At 38.3% G+C, this 16,214-nt stretch overlaps 1 protein-coding gene across 3 annotated transcripts in view, besides 1 other annotated feature; it reads left to right on the forward strand.

Moving 5' to 3' along the window:
• MXI1 (MAX interactor 1, dimerization protein) overlaps window positions 1–14,796 on the forward strand; it is a 79,761-nt gene extending 64,965 nt beyond the window's left edge. For all 3 annotated transcript variants that reach the window (NM_130439.3, NM_001008541.1, NM_005962.5), the window contains 3 exons: window positions 6,611–6,725; window positions 7,345–7,516; window positions 12,255–14,796. In NM_130439.3, coding sequence (NP_569157.2) covers window positions 6,611–6,725; window positions 7,345–7,516; window positions 12,255–12,418 — 451 coding nt within the window. In that variant the 3' untranslated portion in view covers window positions 12,419–14,796. The remainder of the gene's footprint in view (window positions 1–6,610; window positions 6,726–7,344; window positions 7,517–12,254) is intronic.
• Window positions 12,816–13,317: an enhancer, noted in NCBI's record as "NANOG hESC enhancer chr10:112045143-112045644 (GRCh37/hg19 assembly coordinates)". NCBI's record gives its function as "activates a minimal SCP1, AML or CMV promoter by ChIP-STARR-seq in naive H9 embryonic stem cells {active_cell/tissue: H9 hESC(naive)}" and the evidence as "EXISTENCE:reporter gene assay evidence [ECO:0000049][PMID:30033119]".

Here is a 16,214-nt window from a genome sequence, read left to right on the forward strand (position 1 = left end):
GAAAGTGGTTTTAAAAAGTCTCCCAAGAATAAGTAACATGCATCTCAACCATTTTAATTCTTATTTGTATACAGATAAGCCCTTTCATGCTGAGGCTGACAATGTGACAGAATAATTTATATTATTATATTATATATTATATGTAATTTGTAGAATTTGCAGCTTTATTATACCACTTGTTAATATTTCTATTTGATTATTTTATAAGATACCAATTAAGAAGGCTATTTAAGTGAAAGCTGCTTTTTTGAAAAGTGAGAAGAGAGTCCCAGCTATTTTCCTAAGTTTTTATTTCTGTCATCATTGAGTCCCATGACTACCACAATCAGATCTGACACTAGGGACCTGCCACTTGCCACGTTACTACCTGGGAGTTAACAGTCTGTTTATTTTCTGTGAAGTAGATAATATATGAGTTGTAGGTGAAACATACGATTATCAAATGCCATTTTGTAGAAATAGCTTGTTTAGCTTTTTTTTTTTTTTTTTTTTTTGTGAGATGGAGTCTCGCTCTGTCACCCTGGCTCGAGTGCAGTGATGCGATCTCGGCTCACTGCAACCTCCGCCTCCCAGTTTCAAGCAACTCTCCTGCTTCGGCCTCCCAAGTAGCTGGGACTACAGGCATGTGCCACCACGCCTGGCTAATTTTTTGTGTTTTTAGTAGAGATGGGGTTTCACCGTGTTAGCCACAATGGTCTCGATCTCCTGACCTCATGATCCGCCCGCCTCGGCCTCCCAAAGTGCTGAGATTACAGGCATGAGCCACCGTGCCTGGCCTTTGTTTAGCTTTCTTATTTCATGAACCGAATAAGCTGAACAGCAGAATATGATCATACATGTTTTAGTAAATAAAACTCATGAACCACAATATGCTTTTGATATATCAGGATCCATTTTTAATGTCATTTTTCATTAGGAAAACAGGCAGGCAGGGTTTTTTGGGGGGATAAATTTGGGTTTTCAGAAGATTCTCAACACATTAAGTTTTAGAGACACTTTGGTATATATGTGTAGGAAAAGTAGCTAGCTGCTGTCACGTGCAGGAGTGTGTGTTGGGAGTTGAGAAACCTGGCCACAAGCCACTGCAGCTTTGAAGAATGTGGCTCATGAGAGGACTCATAGTTCATTACGTAACATTCAGCAGAGCGGAAAATATAAGCACTGTCTCCATCACTTGACTTGCTTTCCATTTTGATTTAGTTATCTGGTAAAGTCTAGGTATCCTATAGTGGAAGAATGAAAGACAAGCAGGTTCCAATGAAGGACCATGCTTCCAAAGGCATCAGCCAGTGGATCGTTTGTGGGGCCAGGCGGGGGTTAGATCTATTATTGTTGGACAGGGGTATTAGAGTTTTGAAAGACTACTTGAAAAACATAATCAAATGATACTTGGAGTTTGTTCCGAAAGGGTATTCTTTCCTCTCTCTTCCCACAACAGTGTGCGCTTCCTATTATAGTTGATATACCTGTGCTTTAAAATAGCACAGCTACTAGTAGAGGCCATTTTATACCAAAATCATTTCCCTTCATGTTCTGTGGTACATCAGTTTGGCAGTAGAGGTTACAGAGTTTGAAATCAAAAGGAGCATTGGTTCCTTCAGGGAAAAATGATACCAATCTACCAAAATAAAAGCCAAACAGACTCTCATTGTTCTTTATCCCACAAGGGGCTTGCCCTTTTTGAAGGTGTGGTTAATTTTGATAGGACTCTTCTCTCTAACAGGGTTAGTGGCTGGGAATTACCTTTTCCCCTGGGCAAAACCCACTTTAAAATCTCATTTTAAAACAGAACTCAAAGTGTCTTTGAAAATAAAAGTACTTTGGGAACTCTTCATTGTGTAACCCCATCCCTCTCAGCAAGGGGACTCCAGTTTTCTCACAGGGCACTTCCTGCTGCAGTACCTAATTCTAACTTTGTTTTACTATAACTCATGCTAAAATAGGAAAGGTTTCAGCTTTACAGTTTTTATTAGCTGTTCATGTGTTTTTAAAAAGTATGTGTTAAATAAAAATAAAGTAAATGTCCACCAAGGAGCTAAATTTTTAAAAATCAGTTTCCATTAAGTCTAGTTCTATAAATGTTTCAGTACCAGGTTTTTTCTACTTGCTGTTTGTCTAATGTTCATCATAATATTCAGAAGAGCAGCCTTAACTTTCCCCAACCTTCTTTCCCTTCTTTTACTAGAGGTGCAGGACCATGCCTTTCATGAATCGTTATTCTCTATGTCAGCTCTTCTCTCCCTTGGAGACTTGAAAAACATCATCATATGATACTTGCAGTTTTTTTCCTCAGTGAATAAGGATTTTTTTTTTTTTTTTTTTTTTGGTGGAGTCTCACACTGTCACCCAGGCTGGAGTGCACTGGCGCGATCTCTGCTCACTGCAACCTCTGCCTCCTGGGTTCAAGCGATTCTCCTGCCTCAGCCGACAGAGTAGCTGGGATTACAGGCACGGACCACCATGCCTGGCTAATTTTTGTATTTTTAGTAGACACAGGGTTTCACCATGTTGGCCAGACTGGTCTCGAACTCCTGACCTCAGAAGATCCACCCACCTCGGCCTCCCAAAGTGCTGGGATTACAGGCATGAGCTACCGCACCCAGCCTGTGAATAAGGATTTTCAAATCAAACCAAGCTTTTTTCTTCTATTGCTTGTCCTTTTTCCTTCCCCCAAAGTCTTACAGCACCCATGATTTGGCAGCCTCATACAGGAGGCTCTTGAGCTACCAGTCACATGAGAATGAAGGCAAGAAAAGAAGGGACCAGATGGCATCAAAAGATATGCCTTTCTAGGTCACTGGTGGTTAAGCTTGCAATCTGGTTACCAACAGGGAGACTTATGGGGGAAAGGGTGGAGAGCAGCATCATTGAAAAGGAAGAATAATTTTGCCATACAATTGCTGTTCTAAGAATTTGCAGGAGAGAAAAAAAACTTAGACACTGAGGAGAATCGATTTTTCTGATTTAACTCTTTCCAGTTTACAGTTACAGGGCATCCATTGCTCTTGGAAGGGTACATTTACCTAAGTGGCAGCTAAGGACATGTGGTAACTGTGTGCATTATTTGGATGGGACTCTCCCTCTTGGTCAGCTGCTGTTCTTCAACTGCCATTAACCATTTGTTATTCTACTCTCCAAATGCCTGTTTCATTTAAATACAAAAACTTAAGGAAATGACATGTATCTTCCACAGGTACACCTCTGTCCACAAGAGCAGAGGAAATAATTCACTGTTCATCTTTCATATTAATACCGATTTTGGAGGACTGTATTTACAAAATATGAAGAATGGCATCACTGGCCTTTGTGAGATATCTCAGGGTATATTTTCTTGGTGTAAGCTGTATCTCAGAGCAGATGAATAATTATTTGACAATAAAATGTTCAGTAGTGGCTAAAAAAAATATCTTTTAGAGCATTCTGCCTTCCCTGTTCATTTAGGCATTTTTCAAACTTTGGTCTGGGTACCTCCTGATTTGTCGGTGCATTGCAGATCCTCAGACAGCTGAAACTAGCTGATTATTTCCATATAGAATTCCAGCTCAGTTGTTTTCCCTTGAAGGAGAGAAAATAAGGCATTTTAAATTTTATGTTTAAACTTGGTCCCAGTCTATAAATTTAGGTCCTTTACTTTTTAAATTACCTAGAAAATCCTCGCTTTTTCATACACAAATTCTATATTATTCAAGTCCAAAGTCAAATTTGAACCTCTTTTACAGGTCTACCTCCTCCAATTACAATCTCTCCATTTATTCAGATTTTTTCAATTTTATGTTTAAACTTGGTCCCAATCCATAAATTTAGGTCCTTTACTTTTAAAATTACCTAGCAAATCCTCACTTTTTCATAGACAAATTCAATATTCTTTAAGTCCAAAGTCAGATTTCAACCTCTTTTACAAGTCTCCCTCCTCTGATTACAATCTCTCGATTTATTCAGATTCTGTTGTCCTTGATATCTGTATGACTCATTCAGTATGGACCAAATGAAACAAAGTAATATGTTTCTTTCTGTAGTCTTGAGTGTAAACTCTTAAAGTTAACATTTTTTTTTTACTTTTCCTTCTCAAGCAAGTGTCTGGAACAGTGCTGAGTATGTAAAATCCATGTAATAAATACATGGAATGATTAAAGAGAGAAAAAATTTTAATATGTTAGTTATTTTCATTCTAGGTTTTAGCAAGTATCACAAAACGGAAAATAGACTCACCTTTCTTTTCCTTGATGTGAAAGTTTATGGAATCATTTTGATTTTCCTTTCTTTCTTTTCTTTTCTTTTTTTTTTTTTTTCTTCCTGAGGCAGAGTTTCACTCTGTGGCTCAGGCAGAATGCAGTGGCGCCATCTTGGCTCACTGCAACCTCCACCTGCTGGGTTCAAGCGATTGTTGTGCCTCAGCCTCCCGAGTAGCTGGGATTACAGGCGTGCACCACCATGCGCAGCTAACTTTTATATTTTTAGTAGAGATGAGGTTTTACTGGGTTGGCCAGGCTGGTCTCGAACTCTTGGCCTCAGTCTGCCCACCTTGGCCTCCCAAAGTGCTGGGATTATAGGCATGAGCCACCATGCCCAGCCCATTTTAAGTTTCTTAAAAACTAAAAAATAAAAGATAATTCTTACATATACTGAAGTTTTGGAGTTAATTTGAACCAAATTGACAAGGTATTCTTGCGGTAATGTGCTTGTTAACTTTACTAGTTGCTTTGTTGAGTTTTTTAGAAGACTGAATTTAAAGCAGGATTGTCTATTAGTGTAGCTGCCAGTCTTTGTTTCCACGCTCCAGTCATATTATATGAGTGCAGTTGTTATCATATGCCATAATAATCTTAATGAAGAGTTTAAAGGCACTTTTTACTCTGGTGTTTTGTTGTTGTTGCTGTTTGTTTGCTTTTTTTGGTCTGCTGAGCAAGAGCACTGTGGTCACATGAGAATCCTCACCTAAGAAATTTTCCAGTTAAAAATGAAAATTTTGTTAAAGGTTCTATGCATTTGGGTAGTACAGCAGGGGAGGAAAGTGACTTTGAAGTTGTTAAATATCATTAAGGAGAATCCATTGATATACCTTTGATTTAGGGATTCCTTTATCCACACCAGTTACGTCAGGTTTCAGCCTGGACCCAATTATTAGACCTGAGGTACTGAACTCAATAAAGAAATTTGAAATGGAAATACTGTCAGACCTTTAACTATAGTTAGGTTAGTAGGTGCTAGAAGAATCTTAATTCATTAGCCAAACCTCTGACCTCACTACCCTTAATCATCCTTGCTTGTCATGACATAATTGGCTGCTTATTGCCTTCTCCTACCTCTCTTTTCAAATTGCTAGCCTTTGAGAATTTCACTTGACATTATTTCTTGTCTATTAAGACAGAGAAAGCGCATAGTTTGGTGTGTGAATTAGCAAAACCATTTTAGTCCTCTTTCAGAAGAGAATGGAGGGTGTGTGTTTTGTTCTTGATGCAGTTAAGACAGTTACCAAAAGTTCAATTATAGGTCTTTAAGGACTAGGGGTAAACTGTGAACGTATTTGTGGATTTTCTTTTCAGATATGCTGTTAACTGCTGAATTACCTTACCCCTTATGAAACACAGGACCAAAGATGTGGACTAGTATTGTTTTAGGATGAAGTTAAATACTCAGAACTCTCTCATCACCATGATCATAGTTCTTTTAGGGCACAGGGAAGGTAAATCCATGAGGTTCTCTGCTAGCATTTCTAGGAGAAATTTCCCTCAACTTTCCCACAGGAAGGATAGATTAGAGAATGCAATGACTTTCAGTAAGTAATTTTTGTCACCTGTTGTCCTTGTGGATTGGAGGCAGGTAGTGAGAGAGACGAGAGAGGAAGAGAAAAAAGAAATAAAAATTAAGCTAACGAGCTAGCACACTTAGATAGGAAGCAGGGGATTATTTTATGGGTTATTTCTGTGGCTAGAATTGACCACAGGGCATATATTTTGTCTAACCCTACCCTAGCTGGTCACAGAATTTTGCTGTTTCTGTTGTATTGGAGTATAAGAAATCAACATTTTTATAAGTGAAAAGTGGTTGAATATCAGAAATTTCATGTGGTTCAAACTAATATATAACAACATGTAACACACTGTAGGATGGCTACAGTTGTAGAGAGGTAGGGTGTGTGTGTGTGTGTGTGTGTGTGTGCCCACACACGTGCAAGCAAGTAAAAGGTGGGAGGGGGGAAATAGAAACTTGTGAGCATATTATATTCCCTTGGGGTACCATAGCTGAAAACCTCTCCTCTCGCCTGTGGTTTTAGTTATTCAAGATCAAATACAATTGTCCTGGTATGTTTTCACACTTCCATATTAATACAGTTGAGACAGTTTATGGGGTGAGTTAAAAAATAAACCATCTTGACAGAGATTACCATTGGGGATAATAATCTAAAGTGAGTGTTGTCTAAAGAGTACAACAGAAATAGCAGAGACTGAAATGCGGCCACCCCTACATTCTTTGACAGTGGAGAATTAGGGGTGTGACATCTATCCTATAGGCTGAATAAATGCAAATTATTGTTTATCTTAAAATAGGTTTTATGATATTTCTAGTGAAATAACCAGACTGTGCTGATTTGACTTTTTGTCTTTCTTAGACGAGCTCATCTGCGCCTTTGTTTAGAACGCTTAAAAGTTCTGATTCCACTAGGACCAGACTGCACCCGGCACACAACACTTGGTTTGCTCAACAAAGCCAAAGCACACATCAAGGTGAGAATTTTTACTTTCAGATTTGCACAATTCCCTCAGTTCTGGTTTAATTATTGGCACTGATTCCTATTCATATACATCAGCTAGTTCACCATGCCCTCCTTAATAACTGACCTCAAGAGAAGTCTTTCTAAAAACTTACCAGCTAATCTGATGGGAACAACATAACCTGATTAAACTAAATTGTTTTGACAGCGTGGCCATTTGAAGAACTGAGAACACTAGGAAAATAACAATTACCCTCTTCATACTCGGAAGGCAGTTGTGCCCTCTGGTGGAGATGACTTCATTTGGCTGTGTCCTTCCGTATTTTTCCATCAAATACCATACTAGAGGAAGTTTCTCCGTGGAGATTACTTTACAGACTTTTAGAAGTCCATCTTGTTCAAGTAACATAGCATTCATTACATACACACAAAAGTAAAGACAAAACTATTTTTTATTTTTAAAAATATGTATTTATATGCATTCTCATTTTGGAGGCTTTAAAATGTATTTATATATTTTTATACACACTCACACATGTATATTCATTCATGTTTTCTCTGCTAAAGGAGGAATCAGTTTTATTGTTTGTACTGGACTATACACAAATGTAAAAATCATTTCATCATTTCAGAAACTTGAAGAAGCTGAAAGAAAAAGCCAGCACCAGCTCGAGAATTTGGAACGAGAACAGAGATTTTTAAAGTGGCGACTGGAACAGCTGCAGGGTCCTCAGGAGATGGAACGAATACGAATGGACAGCATTGGATCAACTATTTCTTCAGATCGTTCTGATTCAGAGCGAGGTAGGCAGCTTGCCTCTTCTCTAATGAAATACTAAACATCTCTGTATCTGGATTTAGGGAAGGTATGTTGGGAGGCACTGTATTTGCTTTCTTTCTAGCCAACAGAGTAACATTGTAGGTTTTATGCAATCATAATATTGTCTACAGCAGTGCCAGTGTGGACTATAAAACTTTTTGTTTTTTCCTTGAAAAAAAATATATTTATATATTTATATTATAAATTATATAATGTCCCTCAATTTAGGTTTGTCTGATGTTTTCAAATGATTAGATTGAGGGTATACAGTTGGGGTAAGGAATATCACAGAAATGATGTTGTGCCCGGTGGCTCATGCCTGTAATCCCAGCACTCTGGGAGGCCAAGGCGGGCAGATCACAAGGTCAGGAGATCGAGGCCATCCTGGCTAACATGGTAAAATCCTGTCTCTACTAAAAATACAAAAAATTAGACGGGCGTGGTGGCAGGCGCCTGTAGTCCTAGCTACTCGGGAGGCTGAGGCAGGAGAATGGCGTGAACCCGGGAGGCGGAGCTTGCAGTGAGCCGAGATCATGCCACTGCGCTCCAGCCTGGGCAACAGAGTGAGGTTCCGTCTCAAAAAAAAAAAAAAGAAAAGAAATGATGTTGTGCCTTTCTCAATCCATTGTGTCAGGAAGATACACGATGTCGAAGTTTTTACTACTGGTGATGTGAATTTTTATATGTAGATTTTAAAGTACAACACCCTTTATTTCTCTTTCCATCTATCCTAGAATATTTATCTTTGACAGAGTTAAAGAACAGAAGTCAACCAAAAAAGAATGGTTTGAATTTTACTGATTGTTCTTCCCAAAGCTTCCACCACATCAGGCTTCATATCACATTAAAAGATCCCAGAGGTGAACACTGGTGATTTGAAGTCTTACATTTGGAGAAAGGAGCTCATGAGCTCTTTAGGATTCTAAAACATGAGACAAGTGACAGAGTTTTTTTGTTTGTTTGTTTTTAGGACTCTGATTTTGTTTTTTGTTTTTGACTTTTTTAAGTGGAAATTTTCAAACATACTTAGAATAGAATAATGAACTCCTGTATACCCACCATTCAGTTTGAATAGCTGTCAACTTGTTTCATCTGTTCTTCACTACGCTCACCCTCAATATTTTTTCTGGAATGCTTTAACTCAAATCCCAGATAACATCATTTTGCCCCTAAATACTTTAGTATGTATCTTGAATAAATAGGATTTTTAAAAATGTAATTATAATGCTATTATAATACCCCACAAAATTAATTCAGATAATCTTTTTTAATATCATCTAATACCCAGTCTGTGATACATTTTCTCCAGTTGTCTCAAAAATGGCATTTTACCATTGGTATGTTTAAATCAGGATCCAAAGGCCACATTGCATTTGTTTGATGTGCCTTTTAAGATATTAATCTATAATAATTTTTTCTCTTCCCCCTACACCGTTTTGGTAGAAACAAAAACTGATTTCTACATAACATCTCAAAAAGACTTCTTTGGCAGAGAAAACATGAAGGAATATATAGGTATAGATCTGTGTGTTGTATATATGTACATATTTTTTTAAACATCAAGAGACTGAGTCATTTTTCTTATAGAATTTCCTACATCCTAGATTTGGCTGGTTGAATCCTCATGGTGTCATTTAACATGTTATGTCCTTTATATTGACTGTAAACTGGTTGGTAGATGCAGAATACTTCATAGGTGGTGCTTTGTACTTCCTGTTATGTCAGTATTGTGTGTAGTTGTTGTTGCACTTTTAATATTAATCAATAGGTTCAGGTAAGGTCATTTTAATACATTTATATAAATGTATAGCCTTTAACTTAACAGTTTTAGCAATTATTGCCCTTATTTCATTGGGTGTCATAAAATAGTGATTTTCTAATTGTGTCATTCCTCTTGTATTTATAAACTGTTTTTCTCCTATAAACATTTTCTCATCAACTTTTCGGTTATCCTGAAATAAAGTTCATACAGGGAAGGTGGGATAAATGCTTGGTCTTGGTTTTTGCTTTATCAGTTTTCCAAACAGAGTTGGTAACCTAGCAGCTTCCAGAAGTAACAAGTTTTGGTTTTACTATTTTTTGATTATATCATGAACTCATGTTTTGCTGTACTGAATGTGTTCCAATCCATTGCAGTCATCCTTTTAAATTCTTTTGAATGCTCAAACTGTCCCAGATTTGCTGAGTAGGAGCCTTTTAAATAGTTTTTTCATCCTTTTTAACGCAACCTTTTTAACACAACCCTAGGAGTTCTTGTTTTTCTGTTTTGTTATTTTTCTATGTAAAAGTTTATTTTTGTGTGGCAGTTTTCAAGAAAAGTCTACCAGAGGCAGTAGCAAGAACCTGAAGTACATGCTACATTTATCAGTAACAGTGAAATATAGCAGAAATAACCCTGACCTTGGTGTCCCAGTCTTTCCTCTATTGCTAACTAGCGGAAACCTCTTCTTAGGTCTTTAGGTTTTAGCTGTCCTTCCTGTTACCTCCTCCTTGTACCCACCCCAACTACCTCCAAATTTCAGAGAGGAGGGTGTATTTTCATCACTATAGCTCTCATTTTTTTTTAGTGTTCCCAGTGTACCTTACTTTAGCGGTACCTTACCAAGTACCATCCTTATCCTGAGCTGGCAACCTCCTTTTTGTAGTGTTATGGGGGCTTTTAGTTAACATCTGTGGTACACTTGGCTAAAGCAGTTTCTCATTTTACTTTGTTTTTTTGGGTTTTTAAAAAATTTTTTTAAACATATTTTTAAATTTTATTAAAATAGAGATGGGCCTTGTTGCCCAAGTGGTCTCAAACTCCTGGGCTCAAGCAATCCTCCTGCCTTGGCTTCCCAAAGTGCTGGGATTATAGGTGTGAGCCACTGTGTTGGCCATCATTTTACTTTATTTTGACTGAGTTCAGCATGCTCTTTTGGATAGTGTGCCTTGTTATTATCTTCTAGTTGTAGGTTGGATGAGTGTTCAGTGGTGCTGGGAAACAATGGCTTCTGAAGCAATTCGGATATAGAGCCAATATATGAATTCACAGATTATTTGGACAGCTGCCTACATTTTAAAAACATCTCTAGAATCTCTAAAACTTTTGAAGCAACAAGCCCTTTTGAAAAGTATATTCCTGGAAATAGCTTCACCCTGTCCTTTTGGCCTCACAAGAATCCACTTTTTTTTTTTTTTTGAGAGAGAGTGTCTCGCTCTGTCGCCTAGGCTGGAGTGCAGTGGCGTGATCTTGGCTCACTGCAACCTCTGCCTCCTAAGTTCAAGTGTTTCTGCTGCGTCAGCCTCCCAAGTAGCTGGGACTATAGGCGCGTGCCACCATGCCCAGCTAATTTTTCTATTTTTAGCCTAGACACGGGGTTTCACCATATTGGTCAGGCTGGTCTTGAACTCCTGACCTCGTGATCCACCTGCCTCAGCCTCCCAAAGTGCTTGGCCGCACCCGGCTGAATCCACTTTTTTTTTTTTTTTAAAGCAGTTGTGATTAGTGTGAACCCTTAAAAAGTCAGTGCCAAATGTGAAACATCAGGCTTTGAATTTAAGTAAGGTAACTGAAAAATCCTGGGTTTCACTCTAGCTCTGATGGGAGAAAACAACTTTTTAACTCCTTTTTGTTTTTAACATGTGTATTGATTTATGTATATTATTGATGATTGAATATCTAGTATTTAACAATTAAGATTTTTTTTTTTATTTTTAAGAGACAGGGTCTCACTCTGTCACACAGGCTGAAGTGCAGTGGTGAGACCTTGGCACACTGCAGCCTCAACCTCCTGGGCTCAAGAGTGATCCTCCCACCTTGGCCTCCCGAGTAGCTGGGACTACTGGATCACCCACTATACCCAGCTAATTTTTGTGTTGTTGTGTTTTTTTTGGTAGAAATGAGGTCTCACTTTGTTACCCAGGCTTGTCTCAAACTCCTGCACTCAAGTGATCTTCCTGCCTTAGCCTCCCAAAGTGCTGGGATTACGGACGTGAGCCACTGCGTCCAGCAACATTATCTATTGATAGCTGAGTCAAATATGTATTTGTGGTGTTTTTTTTTTTTAATGTTTGGCTTTTAAGTCTGTATACTACCACCAAAATGGATCTCACTATAATCTGAAGACTTTTAAGTCTCAGGCCCTTATTTCAAGCTATATTTGATGCAAGAAAATTAAATCTAAGACATATACCTCAAACTCTACTTTATAATGACTTGTTTGACTGACTAGTTGAAGATCTTTATGATGAATCCTAGAAGTCTGTTGAACTATCTGTAGAATGGCACCACCAAAGGCTTGGATGGGTAAATTTTCTAGTTTGCCTATATTAAGTTTATGCTCCTGCCCACCCTTTAAGGCAACCCTGATTAATAAACAGAACTGAGAATTAGTTTGTGGTTTAATGCAAAACAGATGTTTTTAAACCACTTGGGGGTTGGGACCTTTTAATATTAAGCACTAATTCCCAAATACGCCAAGTGCTTTAGGGAGGTCCAGACGGACTGGCGTCAAAGGATTTAGGAAATTTGCTGCCTAAATTAAGACCACCACTGTATATCAGACATTCCCCTTGGCAAAAAATATTCCTGTCTCTTCACCTTGTTCCTCTGTTCTCCAGACATCACTGATAATAAGCTTGTTGTGTAACATTTCTTATACCTCTTTTCCTCATGCTGTTAGTTTTTGAAGGTGCGCTATACTCGATAATTAATGTTCTTCTTTTTTTTTTTTCCTTTGGCAGAGGAGATTGAAGTGGATGTTGAAAGCACAGAGTTCTCCCATGGAGAAGTGGACAATATAAGTACCACCAGCATCAGTGACATTGATGACCACAGCAGCCTGCCGAGTATTGGGAGTGACGAGGGTTACTCCAGTGCCAGTGTCAAACTTTCATTCACTTCATAGAACCCAGCATGACATAACAGTGCAGGGCAAAATATTCACTGGGCCAATTCAATACAAACAATCTCTTAAATTGGGTTCATGATGCAGTCTCCTCTTTAAAACAAAACAAAACAAAACAAAACTATACTTGAACAAAAGGGTCAGAGGACCTGTATTTAAGCAAATACTTAGCAAAAAGTGGGGCAGAGCCTCCCAAGGAGAACAAATATTCAGAATATTCATATTGGAAAAATCACAATTTTTAATGGCAGCAGAAAACTTGTGTGAAATTTTCTTGATTTGAGTTGATTGAGAAGAGGACATTGGAGATGCCATCCTCTTTCTCTTTTCTAGTTTGCTCATACTACATTGAGTAGACACATTTAAGGATGGGGTTATGAACCCTTCCTGAGCTTTATGGTCCTAAAAGCAAAATAAAAACTATTCGAATGAAAAGACAAGAAAATCAGGTATTAATCTTGGATAGCTAATAATGAGCTATTAAAACTCAGCCTGGGACAGTTTATCATGAAGCCTGTGGATGATCAATCCTTTATTATTATTTTTTTTTTTTGAAAAAAGCTCATTTCATGCTCTGCAAAAGGAGAGACTCCCATGAAGCCTTTTGAAAGGGATCATCATGCAGCTCAACTTTCTGTTGGATTCCATGCTAAGCAAGCTAACCTTATCCTGCATTGTTAGCACTAGGCACCCAGCTGCCACCTCTCCATCCTGCTGCCCTTAGGCCACATGGGAGCAGTCCATGCATGACAGCCTCTATCCTACAAGGCCTATGAGTATGGATTGGGGGGGCCAAAAGGAAAAAGCTCCATGTGCCTCTTTGTCTGCGTGGGTCAGAAGAGTTGTGCACGCAGATTAGCAGGCCAAGGTCTGAGCCACAGCAGCATTTTTATTTCAGATTTTGATAACTGTTTATATGTGTTGAAAACCAAAATGACATCTTTTTAAAGCTTATCCATAAAAAAAAATAGATGTCTTTTATAGTGGAAAAACACATGGGGAAAAAAATCATCTATTTTGATGCAGCATTTGATAATGATAAAACACCTCACACCTCACTCTTTATAGTGCACAAAATGAATGAGGTCTGGGCTAGGTAGAAAAAGGGTCAATGCTATTTTTGTTTTTAGAATCATTACCTTTTACCAGCTTTTAACCATCTGATATCTATAGTAGACACACTATCATAGTTAACATAGTAAGTTCAGCACTTGTCTCATTTTAATGTAAAGATTTGCTTCCATTTTCCTACAGGCAGTCTCTCTCTTCCTCACAGTCCCACTGTGCAGGTGCTATTGTTACTCTTACGAATATTTTCAGTAATGTTATTTTCTTCTAAGTGAAATTTCTAGCCTGCACTTTGATGTCATGTGTTCCCTTTGTCTTTCAAACTCCAAGGTTCCCTTGTGGCCCTCTCCCTTACCCTGGGAAGGCCTCTTGGAGACCTTACCCCTGGCTGTTTGGACTTTGTATACTTTAAATAATTTAACTACCCTTAATTACTTAAAAAAAAAAAAAAGCTTTATGATTTTCATAACTTATTGCTGATTTTAATGGATTGTTAATTTCAGTCCTGTAGTTTTATTTTATGTTTAGATAGGGCTGGGCAAGGAAAAAGAAAATAAAGACAACCATATTTAGCAGTGCAGTTGAGTTGTGTGTTAATGTTAGACTATCCCTTTGTGAGTGACACTTTAACAGCATTCACTGCTTCTATATATAGTGTACCATCTTGGTCATACATTACGCCTCAACATATACTTGTGCTCTTCCTTTGCCTCCAGAAGAAGTTTTTCCTTGATTGTGCTATGTTTCAGTGGAAGAAATTCTTTGAAGTAGATGTGAGTGAAAAACTGCATGCCTTTAGAAGCCCAGTATCAGAACTTGCTACGTTTCAGGTGCTAGGGACTTAATGAAAAACAGGACAAAACAATTCCTTTTTGTGGCCCAGGTAAATTATTTCTGGTTTCACTTATAATTACTAATGGCTGAGTCAAGATGTTGTCTCTGTGTTTGCTTACTCTTGATCAAGTGTGAGACAGTTTGAAGACTGTGCTACCATACAAAGTGAATGAAGCCAGTGACTAAGCTTCTGTTTGTTTTGTTATTCTCATGGCCTTCGCTTGCATTATTTGGGCCTTCATTCAGATGAACTTGAGGTGCCATTTTGTTGCATATGTACAGGATTATGGGCTGGAAAGCATTTGTTATAAACCTATAGTGCACATTTTAACTGCCCCCTAAATTACCCTTCCCTGGGTTTGTTTTCCTTGGGGTGGTGTAGATTGTATGAGTAAGAAGTATTAATTTTTTAAAAGACAAATCAACTTTGAAGACACAAAAGTTAATTGGAAGAAATAAAAACTGTGAACGAAGAATACCTTTCTTTTTGTACCATCCTTCTTTATGAAGGCAAAAACATGAATGGGTATCCACACCTTAAGAGGTAACTATCTCCTAAATGTCTGTTGATACCAAATCAGTATCAATGCCAAATCAAATGGCAGTTTGAATTATAATTGCCATTCCTGTTCTGCAATTTAAACAGGAGCCTGACTGGTAACTCCATATAACCTAACTGCATGTGGTTTAATGTGCCACATTAATAATAATATTAACTGCCTCAGGTAGGACACAAAGCCATTCTCATGATCTGTTCTCTAAATAACTTTTGGGAGCATCCTTTAGCTACACTATTATTCAAATTGCAAACAAGTCTGGAAGTTCCACTAATCTTATTTAGGGTACCCTATTTATAGAACACCTGAGTGACATTTATATTAAAAGGTACAGGTAGGCCAGGTGCAATGGCTCACACCTGTAATCCCAGCACTTTGGAAGGCAGAGGTGCGCAGATCACTTGAGGTCAGGAGTTTGAAACCACCCTGGCCAACATGATGAAATTCCGTTATCCACTAAAAAAAAAAATACGAAAAATTAGCTGGGCGTGGTGGCATGCACCTGTAGTCCCAGCTACTCAGGAGGCTGAGGCAGGAGAATCTTGAACCTGGGAGGCGGAGGCTGCAGTGAGCTGAGATCGAGCCACTGCACTCCAGCCTGGGCAGCAGAGCGAGACTCCGTCTCAAAAAGGTACAGGTAAAACCTACTGTAGCGCGTTATGACTAGAGGATTCTGAAGTCACTGCAACTCAAGTTTCTGGTTAGAATAGGTATGAGAACTCCTACAGAAATGCCTTTCTAATCTCCCTGACAATGACTGCTTTTAGCATTATGAAGGAATTTTAAGAGGCAGTGAGGATTATTGAGGCAAAGTTGCTGACCAAAATCAGGTTCCCAACAGTTAACCCAGAACAGTAAAGTGTGGGAAAAGCAAGTGTTTTAATTACACTGTAATCCCAGTTCCAACATTGCTGACCCTAGTTAAGTTGCTTGATTTCTTCATGGAGCCCTTTTCTTCCTGAAAAGCTATTATAAGTACTACCTCTATCTTGAAGGGTTGTAAGGATTTAAGCTGATATATATAAACTACCACCCCACTCCCTGACTGCCATCTAGGAAGATGTAGCACTAAGGAAATTAAAAGGGGTGTATTTCTCTAGTTTCTCTGATGAATGCAACCTTTTAATGCATCCTTAATCCTGAATTTTAGTTACTTTGACTCCAGATCTTACAGAAAAAGACTGTTCCTAAATATTGGTTCACTTAAAATTCCATGGTAGGTAATACTTTAACATAAAGTAGTTATTTTTTATTTCCTATAGAATTTCTTTCTGTCACCCAGGCTGTAGTGCAGTGGTGTGACCTCGGCTCACTGCAACCTCCACCTTTTGGGTTCA

This window comes from Homo sapiens, chromosome 10, assembly GCF_000001405.40.
Source record: "Homo sapiens chromosome 10, GRCh38.p14 Primary Assembly".
Lineage (NCBI taxonomy): Eukaryota > Metazoa > Chordata > Mammalia > Primates > Hominidae > Homo > Homo sapiens.